Source organism: Homo sapiens, chromosome 4 (assembly GCF_000001405.40).
Source record: "Homo sapiens chromosome 4, GRCh38.p14 Primary Assembly".
Lineage (NCBI taxonomy): Eukaryota > Metazoa > Chordata > Mammalia > Primates > Hominidae > Homo > Homo sapiens.
In genome coordinates, this window is record NC_000004.12 from 20,613,805 (window position 1) to 20,636,636 (window position 22,832).

General features: G+C 41.8%; 1 protein-coding gene across 8 annotated transcripts in view, besides 5 other annotated features; it reads left to right on the plus strand.

Moving 5' to 3' along the window:
* SLIT2 (slit guidance ligand 2) overlaps positions 1-6,757 on the plus strand; it is a 368,657-nt gene extending 361,900 nt beyond the window's left edge. For all 8 annotated transcript variants that reach the window (XM_005248211.3, XM_006713986.3, NM_001289135.3 and 5 more), the window contains 3 exons: positions 3,106-3,394; positions 3,635-3,846; positions 4,964-6,757. In XM_005248211.3, coding sequence (XP_005248268.1) covers positions 3,106-3,394; positions 3,635-3,846; positions 4,964-5,205 — 743 coding nt within the window. In that variant the 3' untranslated portion in view covers positions 5,206-6,757. The remainder of the gene's footprint in view (positions 1-3,105; positions 3,395-3,634; positions 3,847-4,963) is intronic.
* Positions 2,763-3,263: an enhancer, noted in NCBI's record as "H3K4me1 hESC enhancer chr4:20618190-20618690 (GRCh37/hg19 assembly coordinates)". NCBI's record gives its function as "activates a minimal SCP1, AML or CMV promoter by ChIP-STARR-seq in naive and primed H9 embryonic stem cells {active_cell/tissue: H9 hESC(naive and primed)}" and the evidence as "EXISTENCE:reporter gene assay evidence [ECO:0000049][PMID:30033119]".
* Positions 15,804-16,510: an enhancer, noted in NCBI's record as "OCT4-NANOG hESC enhancer chr4:20631231-20631937 (GRCh37/hg19 assembly coordinates)". NCBI's record gives its function as "activates a minimal SCP1, AML or CMV promoter by ChIP-STARR-seq in naive H9 embryonic stem cells {active_cell/tissue: H9 hESC(naive)}" and the evidence as "EXISTENCE:reporter gene assay evidence [ECO:0000049][PMID:30033119]".
* Positions 15,900-15,999: an enhancer, noted in NCBI's record as "active region_21364". NCBI's record gives its function as "activates an Ori minimal core promoter by ATAC-STARR-seq in GM12878 lymphoblastoid cells {active_cell/tissue: GM12878}" and the evidence as "EXISTENCE:reporter gene assay evidence [ECO:0000049][PMID:35858748]".
* Positions 19,348-19,849: an enhancer, noted in NCBI's record as "H3K27ac hESC enhancer chr4:20634775-20635276 (GRCh37/hg19 assembly coordinates)". NCBI's record gives its function as "activates a minimal SCP1, AML or CMV promoter by ChIP-STARR-seq in primed H9 embryonic stem cells {active_cell/tissue: H9 hESC(primed)}" and the evidence as "EXISTENCE:reporter gene assay evidence [ECO:0000049][PMID:30033119]".
* Positions 19,850-20,349: an enhancer, noted in NCBI's record as "H3K27ac hESC enhancer chr4:20635277-20635776 (GRCh37/hg19 assembly coordinates)". NCBI's record gives its function as "activates a minimal SCP1, AML or CMV promoter by ChIP-STARR-seq in primed H9 embryonic stem cells {active_cell/tissue: H9 hESC(primed)}" and the evidence as "EXISTENCE:reporter gene assay evidence [ECO:0000049][PMID:30033119]".

Sequence of the window (22,832 nt, forward strand, 5' to 3'; positions counted from 1 at the left end):
TATGGAGAGGCAGCTTAACCTACCCTTGGGTTATCAACTACCCATGATATGTGCTTTACTTGACACAATTTTTTTTGTTTTTCTGAGATGGAGTTTCGCTCTTGTTGCCCAGGCTGGAGCGCAATGGCACGATTTTGGCTCACTGCAACCTCCACCTCCCGAGTTCAAGTGATTCTCCTGCCTCAGCCTCCCAAGTAGCTGGGATTACAGGCGCCTGCTACCACGCCCAGCTAATTTTTTATACTTTTAGTAGAGACGGGGTTTCATCATGTTTGGCAGGCTGGTCTCAAACTCCTGACCTCATGTGATCCACCCACCTCGGCCTCCCAAAGTGCTGGGATTACATGCATGAGCCACTGCGCTCGGCCGACACAAAATAATTTAGTTTTCATGTTTTTCTGTCTGTAGTCCAACTGAACCCTTATTACCTAATGGGGAAGAAAATCAAAAAATAAGCCCCATGCATGGAAATCCATGTATATGCAACAAATGTCCTCCTTGTCCTGCCACGGGACAGAGGACCTAGGCTTGATACTTGGTCTCTTTATTGCCATTTTGAGGCCTGTAGAAATAAGGCTAAAAGCTGTTTGCTAAGTTATCTGTTGGTTGATTGATTGATTGGCTGATTGATTGAATGATTTCCAACTAGGCCAATAGCATAGAGGAAAGGCTTAAAAAAAATCATGGATCTGGCCAGGCGTGGTGGCTCATACCTGTAATCCCAGCACTTTGGGAGGCTGAGGCGGGTGGATCACCTGAGGTCGGGAGTTGGAGACCAGCCTGACCAATATGGAGAAACCTGGTCTCTACTAAAATTACAAAATAAGCCAGGCGTGGTGGTGCATGCCTGTAATCCCAGCTTCTCGGGAGGCTGAAGCAGGAGAATCGCTTGAACCCAGGAGGCGGGGGTTGCAGTGAGCCAAGGCTGCGTTCATGGCACTCCAGCCTGGGCGACAAGAGTGAAACTCCGTCTCAAAAAAAAAAAAAAAAAATTCATGTATCTACTTCTGTTTGTCAATGAAGACCTAGCACGTGAAAAGATTGACTCAGAATAATTCCTGATTTTATGATAGCCTATTGAAACTCAAATATACGTATGATGTCTAAACATTTTCATTTACAAATTACTCTAGTCAAAGCTGGGCTTTTTCTAATTGTTAGCTTTGGAACAAAAAGGAACAGATTTACTAATTGTTTCTCTGTGCTGTGGAACTTTGCCAATCTGTATTTATTCTTGACATGTGCACATATGTGTGTTGTGCCTATATCAAAATGAGCTATTAAAAATAGTTTTGGAAGAAGTTCATTTTTAACCACTGAAAAAAGGACCATAAATATGTGGTCATTAAAGTCCTTATGATGGATGGATATGGTTAAATTAGAAAAACTTACCCCAGGGCAAGGAATTTTCTGTCACCAGTCCTTTCCTGGAAATGGTAAGTTTCATCCTTTTGACCCTGCTCTAGAAAGCAACCCACAGCGAGATGGACATAGACTAAAGGCCTGTACTCACAGAACTTCACAGCCAAGAGACTTCATTCAATACCTGTCAGAGTGTAACCATGGACTACCCAAATCACCTGAGCTGCATGTAGATATTTAGATTTCTGCACCTCTCCTGTTCCTACAGGATCAGAACCTCAGAAGGAGGGGAGAGAGGAGCCTGTAAAGCTGCCTTTGAGCATGCACTGCTGTTGGTTCTTATGTATGACAAACTTAGGACAACTTCTCTGGTCCATATGCTCATGGTGTATAGATGACAATACTAAGCCCCAGAGAGAAGAAATAACTGCTCCAAGTGCACGCAGAACCAGAAATCCTTACCGTATAACCTAGTGGTTTCGTACACCTAGCTGTCTGACTGATGCCTGCTTTGAATGCCAATGGATGAGTCATTTCCTATGAATGGGAAAGGAGAAGGTGGCATAAGTTCAGACCCAGAGTGTGCTACAGTTCTTGGTCTTTAGAACCAACAGACCCCCTGAAGAGTGAGAAACTGGGTCTTCCTCAGCCTAGAACTTCCAGCCAGTAGTCCAGAGTTTAGGCACAGCTAAAGCATAATTACGGGGTTGTGGGGATGTGGTGGTATAGCCAGCACTCTGAAAGCTTCCAGCACCCTCCCCCCTTCCCTGGATGGGTGCCTTCTGCAGGATGCCTTCCACGGACTAAGGGTCTGGCTTAGGCCATGGAAAGATTCTTCCGTTTTGCCAAAATGAGTGTTACCAGATAACTGTCACTAGTGGAATGTATATATACAAAGATTGCAAATACTCTGTTTTTGAAGGGATTTCATTTTTATTTCTGATTTCTTGGACTATGAAGTCTTCACTCTTAATTAGCAAGAAAGAAAAAATGATGTGAATGAGGTGCTGTCCTGAAAAGAATCAGGAGTGAGTTTTTAGGCATTGACATCATTGACCAAGCTTAGGGACGTTGCCAGGAGTGAGCTGAATTAGTTGCTAACTTCGAATGTGGGAGGGCTGGGGTGAATGGTCACTGTGAACCCCAGCTGTCAGCCCCTGAAACCTGGTGGACCTAACCCTGACTCCAGAGATAGAGGAGTTCTTCTCATCAGCCTAACTCTAACCTGAACTCACTGGGTCACCTTGAGCATGTCACCAGGGCTTTCTGAGCCCTAGCCCCTTGTCTTTAAGATAAGGGGTAGAATTAGAGCACCATAAACTGAGCTTTATGGAGCTCCAGACTTCCAGGAGTGTGTGCCTGGAGGTGGAGGGTGGAGGACAAACAGAGAGGGAACATTCCCTTCCCCCAGTCTTGCCTTTAAGGACAGTAGCTCTGCCTCTAGGTTTTATATATTTGTGTACATGTAAAGTTTTCTTTGAAGCAAATTTTAAAGATTAACCACCAATCAACTAGGTATTTTATTCTAGTTGTGGATTAGAATTTCCTGGAGCATCTTCCAATACAGAACAAAACAAAAACACACATCTCTACATCTCTTCTCCACTTCACTTCCCTACCACCCTGCCCAAATATCCTGCCATAATAGGTTGGCAGTGAGGTCCCAAGCATCAGTATTTCTGAGTAGCAAATGGCTCAGAAATCCCCAGAGAGCCTGACCTCTGACCTGGTGTTCCTCCCCAGGCATGCCAGGGAAGAGTAACGTGGCATCTCTGCGCCAGGCCCCTGGGCAGAACGGAACCAGCTTCCACGGCTGCATCCGGAACCTTTACATCAACAGTGAGCTGCAGGACTTCCAGAAGGTGCCGATGCAAACAGGCATTTTGCCTGGCTGTGAGCCATGCCACAAGAAGGTGTGTGCCCATGGCACATGCCAGCCCAGCAGCCAGGCAGGCTTCACCTGCGAGTGCCAGGAAGGATGGATGGGGCCCCTCTGTGACCAACGGACCAATGACCCTTGCCTTGGAAATAAGTAAGTTCCTGCTGCTTGGGAGTTGAGCACACACCTGAAAGCCTCAAAGCCAAACCAAAGGAAGGAAGGAAAGAAGAAGGGGAGGGGACGGGAAGGGAGGGGAGGGGAGGGGAGGTTCGTTAGGCATTAGCACTCTGTCCCTCATATTTTCTCAATCATCCTCCATTCTTATATCACCTCCGTTCATTCTTACCTCCTCTTCTGAATGCATTCCCACTCCTGTGTTCCTCCTCCCTGTAGATGCGTACATGGCACCTGCTTGCCCATCAATGCGTTCTCCTACAGCTGTAAGTGCTTGGAGGGCCATGGAGGTGTCCTCTGTGATGAAGAGGAGGATCTGTTTAACCCATGCCAGGCGATCAAGTGCAAGCATGGGAAGTGCAGGCTTTCAGGTCTGGGGCAGCCCTACTGTGAATGCAGCAGTGGATACACGGGGGACAGCTGTGATCGAGGTAAGCCAGCCCCACTGGGCACCTCATTCTCTTGGCAAAGCAAGAGGGGTCCCATGTCTTTGAAAAGAGAGGGAGAAAAAGTGAAAAAAAAAAAAAAAACAGGAGCAACAGAGACAGAGAGAGGGGAGTGACAGGAGAGAATACTAGGTCTTCTCACTACTTGCAGTTGCTGCTATTGATTTATTTTCAAGTATTTTGAAGGCACCAGCTGTGAAATGACCTTAAACCTCCACCGCAAGATTGTATACAGCCTTCAGATGCTTCTCACAAGTTGATTTGTTGTAAAAGAAATGCTCCTTTTTACCTGATGGAGAAGCACATTTACTTTACTCCTGTCTTACCTTTACCGGCTGTTCTCATCCGTATATATTATTAATTCATCTTCTGGCACAGAGAAGATGGTCCTCTTAATTCTGCTCTAGTTTTAGTACAAAATGACCTTTGGCCTTAGAATCGACTGATTTATCACAGCAAATCATGTGGGTGAGAGGAACGGAAACAGGCTGACTTCTTAGTTCACCTTCCTCCTTCTCCTTTGTCTGCGTGATCAGAGCTCGCCTGGCCTCCAGCTGGCACGGATTTTGTTTTGTGTGTCCAAGGGACGAGACAAGAGGAACGTGCCCATGGAAGCTTTTAGCAGATGTCTCTTTTTTGAACTACATACTTCATACTGGGGTAATTTATGAAGTTAATGGAATGTTACTTGTATTAAGTAACAGATTGGATAATATTAAACTCCAGGTCTAATAAATAAAATGGCATACTCTCTGAAACTGCTCCCTGTGGTAAACAAAACCAGCTGTTAGTAGTGTAAAAACAGAAGATGTGTACTTTTTTTCCTTTTTTGCAATGAAAGAAAATATTTAGGAATCCAATTTTCTTGTCACTGCAATAGCATTGTATTTATACTCTACATAATAGCATTCACTTTGCTGAAAATAGAGACTAAAAAGAAGTATTTTTCAAAGAATAGGAGGCCGTGCCACCAGCTAATAATATGTAAAGCAAGTTACAAAGGGGAAGCAAAGGCTTCTGAATTAAGTTGTGGATTCACAGTCACTCTGCATGACTTACAGTGACTGTTCTTAAAATGCTTGTGCTTTTTGTTCTTTTCTAGAAATCTCTTGTCGAGGGGAAAGGATAAGAGATTATTACCAAAAGCAGCAGGGCTATGCTGCTTGCCAAACAACCAAGAAGGTGTCCCGATTAGAGTGCAGAGGTGGGTGTGCAGGAGGGCAGTGCTGTGGACCGCTGAGGAGCAAGCGGCGGAAATACTCTTTCGAATGCACTGACGGCTCCTCCTTTGTGGACGAGGTTGAGAAAGTGGTGAAGTGCGGCTGTACGAGGTGTGTGTCCTAAACACACTCCCGGCAGCTCTGTCTTTGGAAAAGGTTGTATACTTCTTGACCGTGTGGGACTAATGAATGCTTCATAGTGGAAATATTTGAAATATATTGTAAAATACAGAACAGACTTATTTTTATTATGAGAATAAAGACTTTTTTTCTGCATTTGGAAAAAAAAAAAAAGAAATGCTTGAACTAAAGCTTCCCCTATGCTGGAGAAGTATGAAGAAAGATATACCTGGAGACATTAGAACAGCGATGGGAACCATTGCAACTCGGGTCCATCTTTGTAACATGCTGAAGACAAGCAGAAGCACATGCACGAGGGACAGAGGAGCTACTGTGCACTGCTGTGAAATTGCCCAGAGCATAAAACCTGTGTACCCTCCTTCACATCAACCAAGTTCACTAGGACATACCAAGCACATGCGTGTGAATGAGGATGCAAGGCAAGAGAATGGAACTCCAGAATTCACAGATAGAACAAATGGATGAGAAATATTTCATGCAAAATATAAAGTGTCCTGAGGATCTGGGTTCCATTTACGAGAGGAAATGAAAGTGCTAAAATAAATTTTATCTTCCTTTTAAATGTCAGCATGTCAGCAGAAGCAGCACACAAAAGTCTTTACCATTTTCCAGTATTAATTTTTTTGTAATATAAATGATAAAGGAGATGATAAAGAACCAATAGATTATTGATAAATAAATTAGTAATAATATGATTTTTTGTTTCTATGAGTTCTAAACAGCCCTATACAGTATTCAGTTTCCATGAGAAATATTTATTGTATCAAAGTACATTGTACTTAACATTTTAGGCCATCCTTTTACTGTTCCTTGATGCTTTAATATATATTAATTTATAATTATCCTGATATTTTTGTACATTTTTCAAACTTAAAAATCAGGATTTTTTTTTTTTTTTTTTTGGCAATAGTACTAACATAGGGTTTTATCTTGGGATACATATGTATTGGTCTGTTTGTTGACCTTGACATCTGATCACTGATGTCAATGACCTACTGGCCTCATTCAGGACACCTGCAGAGAGTATGCAAAGTCCGAGAGAGGAAAACAGAAATCTGTATGTGAGATGGTCATTGTACAGAAAGAAGTGGCCCCTCTGCAACATGTCCTCACAGAAACGAAATGGTGTGTAGCAATCAACACTAGAAAGTAGACCTTTTGCAAATTAATATGTCCTTGACCTTTTTTGCCCTTTTGTGGGGGTGAGGTGGGGATAAAAAGACTGTCATATCAAGAACTGTGACTTTTCTTTCCCTCAAACAATAAAACTCCTTTATTATCTTAATGCTCCCATGTTAACATGTTTGCTGCTAAATTACAATGTAGAATTGATAATGGTTTATAGTGAACTGTGCTCTTCCCTCATTAAAATCCCAGGGTGCCCTGTAAAGATGCAGATGTTTCTTCCTGAAAACTTCTTTTTTTACAAAGAAAATTAGATGTACATGTATAATTCAGTGTGCTTTGTCTTTCTCCAGATTAATATCGGTTACACTGCTGATGTTTGTAAATTAAACAGATATTTACTTCATTAACAGCTTGGTGGTGTTCTTAGAAATTGCACAATAGGCCACTCCTTAAGAATTTTTTAATCAAAATGATACAGAAAGAATAAGGAAGAAAACCTATACCTTTTTGTTGCCAAAAAATTGGTTTGAGATTCACACATCGTTATTTCTGGGGACTGATATTGGAATGGCCACATAAGAGAGATGGATATAAAAACATACTATTTGCCTGAAAAAAGATATTCAATTATTTTTTTCAAAAAAATTGTAAGATGAAGTCTATCTAAGATGAAATGTTTTTGTTTTTGTTCTTCTTTGTTTCTCCCTCCCCAATAGAACCAGGTAGAAAACAATAAAAGACAGCCACTCTTAGGCCAGGGTTGGTAACATGAAGGTGTACTATCCAGGACAGAGAAACAACATTGTCTGGGAGGAATAATCCTCATCAACCATGATAAGATTTTGTCTTTGTTTCCCTGTAAACAAACAAACAAACAAAAAACCATGCACACACACACACACATACACACTCGGTCTCTCTCACAGACACAGACATCCAACTATTTATTCATTCTTGTTTAAAATGTCTAAATTGTAATTATAGAGACAATTGTATAGCTATTGTAAATTATTTATTCCCATTGATTACTTCTTTTTTCCAAGGGGTTTAAATCATTCATTAAACAAAGAAACATCTGTGACGATGACGTGATTTAGATTTGTGTTTACAGACATGTATTATCCATATAGCCACTGTTTTTTGAGTGCTTCTTATATGCCAGGTACTATGCTCAGGGTTTTCTATGAAATATCTCATTAATGTATATAAAACCATGAGATTATTGCACTTTCTGCTTTATACATGCATACAGGGCTCATAAACAGAGGAGCTGGATCCACCTCAGTCAGGTGTTCCAGACCACATTGTCTGTAATTAGGGCAACAGCTTAGTAACTACTACCTCTACTTGGGGACTTTCAAGCCTTGGAGCCTTATTCCACAGCCCAATAATTTTTCCTTCTTGATTATGTAGTTTTAAGTAATCCAGACTAGAGACTTTACATTTGCTATTTCATTTTTTAAGGAAAACAAAAGTGAAACCTTCATAGCTTCCAGACTGTGTTTTTTCTCCTTCCTGCTTATAAAGACACAAAATAAAATGACGGCTGTCTGAGATATGAGCTGAATTAGCAAGTTTCTTAGGGGATTGTTTGCCTTGAGATGTCACTGTCTCCTGTGCATGCACCCTTTAAAAATAAATCCAATAGCCAAGTAATTACTAACAAACAAGATAAATTTAGGGTAATTATTCATATTATAAAAGGTTCCTTACTTAGAAGGTCTTGCCAATAGGATTACTTTAAATAGGAAACTATTCCAGAGCATATCCAACAGAACTCTATGCATTAAAAACAAAAAAAAAATCATGCATTTTAGAATCAAAGCTATACATGGAATAATGTGCATTGTAATATGAAATGATAAAGTGGCTAAACATCTCTAATGTATTTTAATTTAAATTCTCACATGAATGAGGCACCATCAGGAAATGCCATAGGGGTCTGACATGTGTTTGATTTAAAATGTGTTCATTGAATAACAACCATCTCAGTCATCTTTGGAATTTGTTTTCACTACAGATTTTCTGAAATTATTTCTAAGCAATATAGATGAACCCCTATTTTTAAATTGCTCTGAGAGTTTTCTTTTTTGGGTGATTTGCTTTGTCAGCAGCAATTCTTTCTGGAGAAATGATCAAAAGACTGTTGAAATTGATTCAGTCCTTAAAGACCTCAAGCTTTATGGTGTCATCTACCTCATGGAGTGACCATTATTTCAAAAATAACATTCACAAGAAAGGAAGCTATACAAGGATAGGAAGCTTCATACAAAGTTTTACATACTTATCTTCATTTTTATTCCTATGTATTCAAAAATCAGTTAACAACACATCTATATTTCCTATCTCCTATCATGTGCAAGAAGCTACACTAAACTTTTGATATACAGTTTCACATGAAACAGACATCACTTCAGCCATTTTAGAGCTTACACTCTATGCAGTTGGGGTTGAAGTTGAAGTGGATAATAGATATTATACAAATGGTCACACTGATACATAATTCCAGATTGTGATAAGCATCCTGAAGGAAGTTATGTGATATTAGAAGAAAGAATAGCAGAGGAATCCAATCAAATAAGTGTAAGGAGGTTTGGGAATGCCTCTCTGAGGAAGTGACATTTAAACCAAGTCATGAAGGATCAAATAGAGTCTAGGATGGAGGCAGATGGAAGCTTGTGTAAGGATAGGGGTTGGGAGTTCACGCAGAGAGAGCAGCCTGTGTGTAGGCCAGAGGAGGAAAATAACTCATGTGGTCAAGGAAACAAAAGAACTTAGTGTGGCTGCTGTGAGGTATACAATTGCTTCTTGTGTGTAACACAACAGTGACCATTTTCAGGATTTCTTAATTCACCATATAGTCCATATTTTTCTTCTGAGCATCTGTTTGCAGTGAGGTCTCAAAACATCAACAAGAAGGGATTTCCATTTTAAAATAGCAGCTATTTGGCTGTGCCTAATGTAGCTCCTCTAAACTTCCAAATGAAATATCTCTGAGGATATGGAAAATAGAAATACTTGAAGTAGCACTGAAAATTAAGAATAGTAGTGAATATTCATGAACTGAGGGCTGATAAAGCTGGATTGAAAAAAAACAACCGCTGGCCAATGCATGCTTTGAATCTCATGTGCATTTTTCCTGCCCTGTTCATACCAAGACCAGAGACTTGGGAAATGAATCAACTGGAAACGTAGCAGAAAATATCTGTTCATTAGGTGTCAATTAAAATCTGAGTTTTAGTGACATCATGGTGACTGCATTGGGCTGGGAAACCCTAGCCTTCTGACCTCCAACCCACCCTCTGCTCTGTTGAGTGAAAACAATGTATTCCTCTAGATTATTTGAAAACATATCTCTAACTCCCACTGTAAGATAAAATCCAAACTCTTTAGTTTGGTATTCCAGATTACTCACATAGTGGTCTCAAATCGGCCTTCAGTATGTGCTCTTAGATTGACAAATGCTAGGGAGGGATATTGGAAAGCAATTTCTGGGCTGGAATGGCCACCTTGTGGATATGAGATTCATCCACATACAGGTGGTAGTTGAAGCTAAGAAAACGGGCAAGCTAAATTAGAAACACAACAGAATGAACTTAACCAGAAAACTAACCCCACTTTAGATGATCCATTTCTGGAATGAAGCAGTCCCAGAATAGAGAGAAAGAAAGGGGAAGAAAGAAAGAAAGCAATGAGGTAGTCACTGGCTAGTCGTGGGTAAGGAATAATAGACTGTTCTCTTAATAAGTCTGATAACAAAAGAAGAAGAGGGAATGGCAGCTGGAAAAGTTGGTGAGGTCACAGGGTTGTCATTCAATGAATCAATAAGTATTGGTTTATCACCTATAGTAACAGCTTGTAAAGAAGTGGGGCAAGCACTTGAGGTATACTCTGGGGACCATCCTGAGAACCAGGCTGGAAGAGCAAGACCAACCTAAGTCATCCCTTACATAAGCTTGTTGATCAGTGGATGTAAAAAGCAGAAGCCAGATACAGTGAGGTTGAGGAAACAGGATGCCTGAGAGTAAGAAGTCACAAAATCACTCAGAGTGAAGAGAGCAATGTATATGCAAGAATTCTTTACCAAATGGAGTTCTCCATTGCCTTCCTCCTCTTCCCCTCACAAAGGGGATACAGCATTTCAAGGGCTTTGTCCAGAGATATTAAATTCAGCTGAGCAGAGGCATCACCATCGGCATTGGGAATTAGCTTTGTCATTGTGTCAATAAGTGGCCAGCTGAATTTAGATTCAAAAGAGAATCAAAAATTAAAAAGCACACACAAGAAAACAGGGAGTGTAAGAAACAGCCACAGAGACGATTGTCTAGAAAATCTGCTATGATTAATCTAACTCTCCCTTCTTGAAGTGGCTAGAATTATTTTCATTGTTTTTTTCACATAGATGGTTGCAGAGAGATTAAGTGACTTGCCCAAGGTCGCACAATCCAGGTCTCCTGACTCCAGCCATAATGCAATATTGATTTCACTGGAATTGAAAGGCAAACTCTATCAACAACCCCGTGAGATAATGCTGGAGGAGTAAGTATTTCTCAAGGGGAGTTATTTTGGTTTGAAAAAATGCCCATGAATAGCACTCACTTTCCCAATAAAAATGCATTTTTTAAATATCTCCCACTGGGTAAAGGAAAATAAATAGTGCTTTTTAGTGAAATTTGCTTCCAAAAAATGAAAACGGAGGGATGGGAATGTACATGGTTGCTTCAGTATTTTTGGTCATTTTTCTGGTCAGATATGCCTTGATTGAGTGGGCTGACCTGGAGCAATTGAATTCCATTGCTAAGATAGTCACAAGGACAGGACCAAACATGCCGTAGTCCAGTTATATCAGCTGCAAAGTCACATTCTTGGACTCAATCCAGCTCACAGATATTCTTTGTAAGGAAAAAAGAGACAAAGATAAAAAAAAAAAAAGCTATAGAGGAATTTCTATTTGAATGAGCATGTTTGATAATGTCCCTTAACCATAATCTCAGGGGCCTGTGTTATCTCAGAAAGGAGAAAGATGAACATCTTTGAATTGCCTAATCTTGCACTTGCTTGATCCTGCTTGCTCTCTGCTCACAATATTACCATTCAATTACCTCTACCACTTTCAATTACATCTTACCTTCAATTACATCTCTACATTGATTTTTTTCTTCCTATTATTTCTGCGTTAGCCACAATTCTCCTCTGATGTTTGTCAACTCTTTTTCAGAGCTCTGAATGAGCAGGAACACATTTCTGAATGACACGTACAATACCCTGTTTGATTGGGAAATAAATCACTTATCATTTGGCAAAAAAGCACCTGCTGGTCTAACAGTTCAGTAAAGGAAGTAGAAATCATTATATCTCTGTTTCCTCATTTAAACTTGTTTTCCTTTTTTCCCTTTTCTTGTAAATGCTTCCATATTTTAGAAAATTGACACACAATTGTACCAATAGAAAAGACAGTTTGAGAATGAGGAAGTGCAGTATAGCAATTCACATCCTGCTCTTTCCCAACTGAGCACACCCAGGAGGCACGAGACCCAGGCAGCGCAGCGGAGTCAAACCTAGGGCTGATCCTCTAGACCCTGATGTATACACATACACAAACATGCAGAGACACACACACATACACATAGGAATGTGGAATAATGTAGAAATAAAGGAAAAAAATTAAGTCACTCAAAGAATTGACTGATTTCCAAATCTAAAAGGGTAATAGTTACAGCTTTGTGTAGTACTCTCATCTCCTTCACTTGAATTCTATTCCTTTTAAAAGCAGAATGTCAGTACACAGAAAACCAGTTTCAGTATGGCACCTGACCAGTGGGTCCATAATGGGAAAAACATCTTTGGCCTAAGAACACTGGGGGAGTTACCTTTCCAGGTTCCTTTTCTCACCCCAGGTTAGGTCTTACTTCTTTTACATTACAATGTAATAGAAGTGTGTATCCACCCCATTTCTCAGGAGACACTAGCATGCCCTAGACAGTCTTCTATGGACACTGTGATATATCTGCCAGGAAAACATCAGGACCAAAGGACTTATCCTGCCAGCTTCTGGGGCCTCTCCCAGTGGACAGTCCTCAGCTCTCGGCCAACTGTGGAATTACCTGGCTGAAGTAAAATCTTGCCCAACGTCTTGCCCAATATCATACACCTTTCCTAGGGCAGTCTGATGCAGGGATATAAAGATCTGACCCCTCTCCCTAGTTCAGGACATTAATGAAGGGCTATCCCAGTTCACAGGTCCTCGTGGGATGAGCTGAAACCTTCTTTAACACAGCATCACAGCACAACTTTTCCTTCTGCCCAAGCCTGCTTCTTTTCCTTCCATCCACAGATGGTAACCTTTAGAGCACTCCCTCATAAACCTCATGTACGCAGCATCAGTGTCCGAGGGAACACACCTGGAATCCACCTGTCTCTGAGTTACATAGAGAGCAGGAGACTGCAGTGAAGAAATTAGCTGTCCCTCTGAGATTCAGAACGCAGCAAACTTATACCTCACAGGGAATTTGGGGACTTAATGGTAACATTTCTAAAATAAAATGTGATGACCAGGTGGCAGCCTCTTTGGATGAGACTGTGAGCCCTGAATATCTGAGACATGCTCAGTTATTTTAGAAAGTTTATTTTGCCAAGGTTGAGGACACACCCCTGTGACACAGCCTCAGGAGGTGTGCCCAGGGAGGTCAGAGAACAGCTGGGTTTTATACATTTTGGGGAGACATGAGACATCAATCAACATATGTAATATGAACATTGGTTGAGCCCAGAAAGGCAGGACAACTCGAAGTGGAAAGGGGGGCTTCCAGGTCATAGGTAGATAAGAGACAAATGATTGCATTCTTTTGAGTTTCTGATTAGCCTCTGCAAAAGAGGCAATCAGATATGTATTTATCTCAATGCACAGAGGGGTGACTTTGAATAGAATGGGAAGCAGGTTTGCCTTAAACAGTTCCCAGCAAGACTTTTCCCTGTAGCTTGGTGATTTGGGGGCCCCGAGATTTATTGTCCTTTCATATTTCCCCCCTTTTTCTTTTTTAAAATATTTGGAGAAAACATTTTAGAAGAAGATGAGTCTCTGATCTCAGGTTTTGTCTGACTTTTCATGGCTAGGATAGTGTACTCCTAGACAAGTAGGTCCCAAGTTACTAGGAAAGATCATTTTTAGCAGGCTGTCTCATGTCCTATGAAGAGAAAATATGGGGAGAAAGGGAGAAAAACAACAAACAGAAGAACCACCCTGGAAAATTGATATAGGCCGCATTACACTGAAATCCACACATCAGTAGGCAAGTATGAAAGGGAATTATGTATGTAAATAGGTTGCTGTTATTTTCTTCTGAAGTTTAAGTTGTCCAGCTTCAGTTCACACAGCTTTAAGAAAGCACAGGTTACTTTTCAGTGACTCCAAATTAGGAAAATTGAGAGAGAAAAAGAAGGAAAAAATTGAAAACATGATTTTAAAGACTTATAGTCAAGAAAAATTAGAATTTGGTCCCAACTGTATAAAATAATAAAAATTGAAAAACATTAGGCAAGACTAGAATCTGACAACAGGTGTACTATAGTTTTTGAAACATAATTTTTCTCTCTCTAATTTCCCATTTTCACTCAAGACAAATCATGGTAGGACTAATTTGCTTTATTATACTTGGCCTAATTATTTGTCTACAGTGTAGCAAGAATAATTATTTTTATTATATAGGCTTTTAAAAATTGGCTTTGATGGAACTTTGTTCCATAGAAGGAATCTCAGACAGGACTTTTTAAAAGCTGAGCTGAGCCATGGGTTTGTACCATCAAATACCTATGAGTTGGGTGAATTCCTCTTATCTTGAGGTGCCAAGATAAACTTGGGGGCTCCTGGGCCTGTCAGAAAGTTACATTCTTTACTTATCACAGGTCAGGAACCCTGTACTGGGACTGTGCAGACAAGATATGAGGCCAGTTTTCCCAAAGGAGCTTTATTGGTTCCATAAGTCAAGTTTCATTCCTTAAAGGAAAGCACACCATTCCAGTCAAAGCCTTGGAAATAACCAGCTTGTCCGATTGTGTACTGTTGCAAATGAAAACAGATTCTTATTCTTAATAACTGTATTGCCCTAAGTTAAGAATTCTCACAAATAGTTTCCAAATTTTGGAGAAATCAGGTAGAGAGAAACTTAGTTTATAGTTTAGATTTGAAACAAAAATTGTAACAGTTCGTTCCCAAAACAAACCTTATTTCCCTGTGGACTAGACTGCCTAAAGCCAAAAGATTAGAAATTATGGTAATCTTACTAAATTCAAGATGTAGCTATTTTCATTAAACCATTATTAATGTCTTATTTATTTAAAATTACATAAGCAAGGATCATTCTGTTTTGGACTGGGTTTATAGTTTTGTAACATGCCAAATTTTAACACCTTATAGTATTTGGCAGTGATAAATATAAAATTTCTTGATCAATAAATGCAAACAAAAATGTATCCTGGCAATTCTTAAGACATTTCTAATATTACTTTACCAATAATTTAAAGCTAGCTTATTTATTCAATATTTTACTTGTTATGTAAACTAGAAAAAGCATTTGACTAGTCTTTTCTTTTTCCCTGATGAGGTATTTGATTCAAGCACTTTTATTTTCTTAAGCCAATGAATTAGAGCTCTTTTATATATTTTCAGTAGTGAAATATTGTGTACAGAACACATAAATACATAGATGTATTAGGTATGTTGATAGAAGTACATCTTATGGATTCACAAAGACCTTCTTGTTTTTCCTTAGACTTTCAAATTCTTGATAACATGCTTCATTACCCTAGGCAGTTGTCAGCTAAATAACCTAAACTTGCATATTAAAGGAAACAACTCAGGTGAAAATCAAATAGCAAAATTTACATCATAAGGTACAGAAAGAAAAAGTCTGTTGTGCTGGAGGGAAATTAAAATGAATTTAATTGCCAATTAAACATAAAATTATAGAAATTATAAAGGCCTTTTAAACATACACACACACACACACACACACACACACACACACACACACATACACACACACACATAGAGAAAGATCCTATAGTTTTTACTTCAGAACTTTAGGCATGAGATAAATATAAATTCACTGGCTTTCAAAAAAAGACCCTGCTGGACCCAAACAGTGGTTTTTATCTTAGTAGAAAAATAACAGCTGATTTGAAACAGACAGAAAAGAAACTAGAGAAAAAGGGAACTTAGGAACTCCACAGTCTGCAGGTCGACCTTAGGGCTCTTTTTCCTTAATGTAAATGTGCACAAAGACCATATTGCTTCTATTTTACATTAAACTCTGGCAAGTAGAGGTGCCATAAAACTTACAGAGTCATTGAAAGAGGGTCATTCTCCTTTTTTTTTTTTTCCTTATTCTTAGGTTGTTTCCCACTTTTTTTTTTTTTTTTTAAAGGAGGAACTGAGCTGTGGCCTGGGGTTTAAGTGTGGTGGATTGATATGTGCTGCTTTTGGGCAGGACTCCTCAGCATGTCACCACTGAGTTGTTTCCACTCTCTTACATGTTTCAGTTTCTCTCTCCAGAGGTCTATAACCTCTGAGAGGGATTAAAACGCTGAGTGATCAGCCCTTATATGCATTTCCTGGATTTCATGTACGTCCATGTGAAGAGACCACCAAACAGGCTTTGTGTGAGCAATAAAGCTTTTAATCACCTGGGTATAGGCGGGCTAAGTCCGAAAAGAGAGTCAGCAAAGGGAGATGGGGTGGGGCTGTTTTATAAGATTTGAGTAAGTAAAGGAAAATTACAGTCAAAGGGCGGTTGTTCTCTGGTGGGCAGGGATGGAGGTCACAAGGTGCTCAGTAGGGGAGCTTTTGAGCCAGAATGAGCCAGGAGAAGGAATTTCACAAGACAATGTCATCAGTTAAGGCAGGAACAGGCCATTTTCATTTCTTTTGTGGTGGAAAGTCATCAGTTAAGGCAGGAACCGGCCATCTTGATGTGTACATGCAGGTCACAGGGGATATGATGGCTTAGCTTGGGCTCAGAGGCCTGACATTCCTGTCTTCTTATATTAACAAGAAAAATAAAATGAAATAGTGGTAAAGTGTTGGGGCAGCGAAAATTTTGGGGGATGATATGGAGAGATAATGGGCGATGTTTCTCAGGGCTGCTTCGAGTGGGATTAGGGGTGGCGTGGGAACTTAGAGTGGGAGAGATTAAGCTGAAGGAAGATTTTGTGGTAAGGGGTGATATTGTGGGGTTGTTAGAAGAAACATTTGTCATTTAGAATTATTGGTGATGGCCTGGATACGGTTTTGTATGAATTGAAAAACTAAACGGAATAAGAGAGGAGAAAAACAGGTATTAAAGATCTAAGAATTGGGAGGACCCAGGACATCTAATTAGAGAGTGCCTAAGGAGATTCAGCATAGTCCTGCCAGCAAAGATTATTTATTTACTTCAAGAGTTAAGAGTGGCAGTTTGAGGATAGCACCAGGAGATATCAGCTGTGATGGCTTGGAGAAACAGTGTAAACCAGCAGTGTAAACAAGAGCAGGGCATGTATGAGTAGTTGAGAATGGTGAATAGGAGTACGACTAGACAGAAGATAGGATGACAAGATTTTTGGGGCACAGTCCAAGTTGGTCTGGTGTCTGGAATGAGACTGGGGCTTAATAAAAAGGAGCGTCCATACAGGAGCTCAAATGGGCTGTACCCTGTAGCATTCCAAGGACAGGCCTGAATTCTGAGAAGGGAAAGTTCTAAAAGTATTGTCCAGTCCTTTTTAAGTTGGTGGCCGAGCTTGTTGAGGTGTGTTTTTAAAAAACCATTTGTCCATTCTACCTTTCCTGAAGACTGAGGACCGTAAGGGATATAAAGGTTTCACTGAATACCAAGAGCCTGAAAAAATGCTTGGCTGATTTGAGTAATAAAGGCCGGTCTGCTATCGGACTGTATAGAGGTGGGAAGGCCAAACAGAGGAATTATGTCTGACAGTAGGGAAGAAATGACTGCAGTGGCCTTCTTAGACCCTGTAGGAGAGGCCTCTACCCATCCAGTGGAAGTGCCTACCCAGACTAAGAGATATTTTAGTTTTCTGACTCGGGGCATGTGAATAAAGTCAATTTGCCAGTCCTGGGCTGGGGCAAATCCCCGAGCTTGATGTGTAAGAAAGGGAGGAGGCCTGAACAATCCCTGAGGGGTAGTAGAATAGCAAATGGAACACTGAGAAGTGATCTCCTTCAAGATAGATTTCCAGGATGGAAAGGAAATGAGAGGTTCTAAGAGACGGGCTAGTGGCTTGTAACCTATGTGGAAGAGGTTATGAAATGATGACAGAATAGAATGGGACTGTGAGGCTGGAAGGAGATATTTTCTTTGGTCTAAGAACCATTTGCCTTGTGTGGGAAGAGATTGATAGGTGGAAGTTTCAGCAGGGGAGTAGGTGGGAGTGACTGATGTGAAGGAGAAAAACTGGCGTGACATACAGAAGTTGGAAAGCTAGCTGCTTGTCTAGCCATCTTATCAGCATAAGCGTTGTCTAGAGCAATGGGATCTGACGCCTTTTGATGGCCTTTGCAGTGAATGACTCCAGCTTCCTTTGGAACTAAAGCGGCCTTGAGCAGAGTTTTTATTAAAGAGGCATTAATAATGGAGGACCATTGCATAGTTAGGAAACCTCTTTCAGCCTATATAACAGCATGGTGGTGCAGAATATGAAAGGCATATTTAGAGTCACTATAAATATTGATGTGTAGTCCTTTTGCAAGAGTGAGGGCTTGAGTTAAGGCAACTAGTTTGGCTTGCTGAGAGGTAGTGGAGGGGGGGCAGAGCGATAGACTCAGTGATAGATGTGGAAGATACTCTAGCATAGCCTGCCTTTGCTGGTGAGTGGCGATTAGGCCTGGCAGAACTGCCATGAATAAACTAAATGTGATCAGGGTGAGGAACAGGAAAGAAGGAAATATGGGGAAATGGGGTGAATGTCAGGTGGATCAGAGAGATACAGTCATGAGGGTCAGGTGTGGTATCCAGAATAATGTGGGAGGCCAGATCGAAGTCCATGCCAGGAACAATGGTAATTGTGGGAGACTCAACAAAGAGTATGGCTGAAGGAGCGGGGGAGCAGAAAGTATATGTGTCAGGTATGAGGAAGAAAATAGATTTTGGAAGTTATGAGAAATGTAGAGAGTGAGTTGAGCATAGTTTGTGATTTTTAGGGCCTCTAAAAGTATTAAAGCAGCGGCAGCTGCTGCACGCAGACATGAGGGCTAGGCTGAAACAGTAAGGTCAAGTTGTTTGGACAGAAACGCTACAGGGTGCGGTCCCGGCTCTTTTGTAAGAATTCTGACCGCGCTAACCATGCCTAGGAAGGAAAGGAGTTGTTGTTTTGTAAGGGATTGAGGTTTGGGAGATTAGTCGGACACAATTGGCAGGGACAGCACGTGTGTTTTTACGAGAATTATGCAGAGAAAGGTAACAGGTGAGGATGAAATTTGAGCTTGACTGAAGTAATGGGGGCTGTCTGTGAAGCCTTGCGGCAGTACAGCCCAGGTAATTTGCTGAGCCTAATGGGTGTCAGGGTCAGTCCAAGTGAAAGCGAAGAGAGGCTGGGATGAAGGGTGCAAAGGAATGGTAAAGAAAGCAATGTTTGAGATCCAGAACAGAAGAATGGGTTGTAGAGGGAGGTATTGAGGATAGGAGAGTATATGGGTTTGGCACCACGGGGTGGATAGGCAAAACAATTTGGTTGATAAGGTGCAGATCCTGAACTAACCTGTAAGTCTTGTCTGGTTTTAGGACGGGTAAAATGGGGGAATTGTAAGGAGAGTTTATAGGCTTTAAAAGGCCATACTGTAACAGGTGAGTGATAACAGACTTTAATCCTTTTAAAGTGTGCTATGGGATGGGATATTGGCATTGAGCAAGGTAAGCGTAATTAGGTTTTAATGGGATGGTAAGGGGTGCATGATCGGTCGCTAAGGAGGGAGTAGAGGTGTCTTATACTTGTGGGTTAAGATGGGGAGATACAAGGGGAGGATATGAAGGAGGCTTTGAATGGGGGAAAAGGCGGCAATGAGGTGTGGCTGTAGCCCAGGAATAATCAGGGAAGCAGATAATTTAGTTAAAGTGTCTCAGCCTAATAAAGGAACTGGGCAGGTGGGGATAACTAAAAAGGAGTGCTTAAAAGAGTATTGTCTAAGTTGGCACCAGAGTTGGGGAGTTTTAAGAGGTTTAGAAGCCTGGCCATCAATACCCACAACAGTTACGGAGGCAAGGGAAACAGGCCCTTGAAAAGAAGGTAATGTGGAGTGGATAGCTTTCGTATTGATTAAGAAGGGGATGGACTTACCTTCCACTGTGAGAGTTACCTGAAACTCGGCATCCGTGATGGTTTAGGGGGCTTCCGAGGCGATCAGGCAGTGTCAGTCTTCAGCCGTTAAGCTGAGAAGATCTGGGAAGGAGTCAGTCAGAGAGCCTTGGGCCAGAGTCCCAGGAGCTCTTGGAGTGGCTGCCAGGTAAGTTGAACAGTCAGATTTTCAGGGGGGGTCCCACACAGATGGAATGTGGCTTAGGAAGAATCCTGGGCTGCAGGCATTCCTTTGCCCAGTAGCCAGATTTCCAGCACTTGTAGCAAGCTCCTGTGGGAGGAGGTTCTGGAGGAACACCTGGCTGCTGCGGTTCAGGCGTTTGGAAGTTCTTGTGTGCTGGAGATGTGGCTGGGGTTTGTCTCACAGTGGAGGCAAGGAATTGCAACTTTTTTCTATTATTGTACACCTTGAAGGCGAGGTTAATTAAATCCTGTTGTGGGGTTTGAGGGCCGGAATTTAATTTTTGGAGCTTTATTTAAAGTCGGGAGTGGATTGGGTAATAAAATGTATATTGAGAACAAGACGGCCTTTTGACTTTTTAGGGTCTAGGGCTGTAAAGCGTCTCAGGGTTGCTGCCAAATGAGCCATGAACTGGGCTGGGTTTTTCCTGTTTGATGAAAAAGAGCCTAAACGCTAACTGATCTGGGAGAGGTCAAATAAAGAAAAAGAAGCATTAACCTTGACTATGCCTTTAGCTCCAGCCACCTTTTTAAGAGGAAATTGCTGGGCAGGTGGGGGAGAGCTAGTTGAGGAAAGAAACTGTAAGCCAGACCGGGTGTGAAGAGGGGAGGTGATAAAAGGATTATAGGGTGGAGGAGGGGAGGCTGAGGAAGAATTGGGAGGGGAGATGTCAGATGGGTCTGTAGAAAAGGAAGATTAGAAAGACTCAGCGACGCTTGGGGTTGGGATTGAGGGGACAGGCGGGAGGGAAAGAAGGAAGATTTGGGATGAGTTGCATTGGGAACAGAGACTAGGAAGGGACTGATGTGTAAAAGAGTGCCTGGACATCAGGCACCTCAGACCATTTGCCCATTTTACAACAAGAGTTATCTAGATCTTGTAGGATGGAAAAAATGAAAGTGCCATTTTCTGGCTGTTTGGAACCACTGTCGAGTTTGTATTGGGGTCAACTGGCATTGCAGAAGAAAATAAGGCATTTAGGTTTTAGGTCAGGTGAGAGTTGAAGAGGTTTTAAGTTCTTAAGAACACAGGCTAAGGGAGAAGAAGGAGGAATGGAAAGTGGAAGGTTGCCTATAGTGAAGGAGGCAAGTCTAAAGAAAAGGGGGAGTAGAGACATGGAGGGAAGGGGTTCGGGGGTTCTTACCATCCAGAAAAGCGGGAAAGGGGTCAGGATGCAGAAATAAGGGGTTGGGGTGCAGAGATAAGAGGTCGGGGCACAGAAATAAGGGATCTGGGAGTGGATGTGGAAATAAGGGATCGGGGTGCAGAGATAAGGGGTCAGGACATGGAAATAAGGGATCGGGGCACAGAGATAAGGGGTCGGTGTGGAAATAAGGGATCAGGGGGTTCTTGCCCCCCAGAAAAGTAGAAAAGGGGTAGAGACAGGGAGAGAAGGGGTCAGGGATCCTGCCCCTCCCCCAGAAAAGCGGGACTTGCCGCTAAGGGTGAAAGACCAAGGCAGGCGTCGCTGCATGGTCAGACACCTCTGAAACGTGGGTGAATAATCAGAGAGGCGTCCCTGCAATGATTAAACACCAAGGGAAGGCTACCTTCCCGAGTCCGTGACTAGCGCCGGAGTTTTGGGTCCACAGATAAAATGTGTCTCCTTTGTCTCTACCAGAAAATGAAAGGAATTGAAATTAAGAGAAGGGAGAGATTGAAGGGTGGCACCAAGATTGAAAGGAGAAAGTGGCTGAGGGATAGTGAGAGAGGTTGGAGAAGAGAGTAAGAAGAGGCCGCTTACTCAATTTAAAATTGGTGAGATGTTCCTTGGGCTGGTGGGTCTGAGGACCCGAGGTCGTAGGTGGATCTTTTTCACGGAGCAAAGAGCAGGAGGAAAGGGGATTGATCTCTGAAGGGAGGTCCCCCGATCCGAGTCACGGCACCAAATTTCATACACATCCATGTGAAGAGACCATCAAACAGGCTTTGTGTGAGCAATAAAGCTTTTAATCACCTGGGTGCAGGCGGGCTGAGTCTGAAAAGAGAGTCAGCGAAGGGAGATAGGGGTGGGGCCGTTTTATAAGATTTGGATAGGTAAAGGAAAATTACAGTCAAAGCCGGGTTGTTCTCTGGCAGGCAGGGGTGGGGGTCACAAGGTGCTCAGTAGGGGAGCTTTTGAGCCAGGATGAGCCAGGAGAAGGAATTTCACAAGATAATGTCATCAGTTAAGGCAGGAACAGGCCATTTTCATTTCTTTTGTGGTGGAATGTCATTAGTTAAGGCAGGAACCGGCCATCTGGATGTGTACGTGCAGGTCACAGGGGATATGATGGCTTAGCTTGGGCTCAGAGGCCTGACACTGAATGAGCCATTTTTTTTTAATTTTTGGGATTTTCCTGTTGGGCCACTGCACATTATTGGGAGTCAAACCCGCAGACACTCCCACCAGGTCCTCAGTCACCCAGGGGTGCCTTTTGTCTGGGAGGAGCAAAATGCCCTTTTTCTTTGGAGCCGAGAAAGCTCAGTCTCTCATTTATCTATGAAAACAACAGTTCAGTTCCTCGAGCAAATGCGCACAGACAAGCTGAATCAAGATTAATTTTGGGAGAAAAGACAATAGAGAAGATCCTTTAGAATGCATCTCTGAACTAGAATTAGGATCCTTAAAAAACAACTTCCTAGGAGAAAGTAAACAACAGCCAAGACCACTTTCTGTAAACTGTGCTCAGCCACCCCTAGCTTTGTAGCTCTTGTCTGCCATTATACACACCAACGTCAAATCCTGTCACAGTACAAGGTCATCTCTGGTACCTCCAAAGCCAAAGGGGTCAGGTCATGCAATAGAGGAAAACAGAGCTGCCTATGGCTCTTGAAACTCAACAAAGAAAATAGAACACCCGCAGAGGGGCGAGTGACACCTTTGTTCTGAACTCTTTAAAGGGGTTCAGCTGGGCGCGGTGGCTCACACCTGTAATCCCAGGACTTTGGGAGGCCAAGACGGGCAGATCACGAGGTCA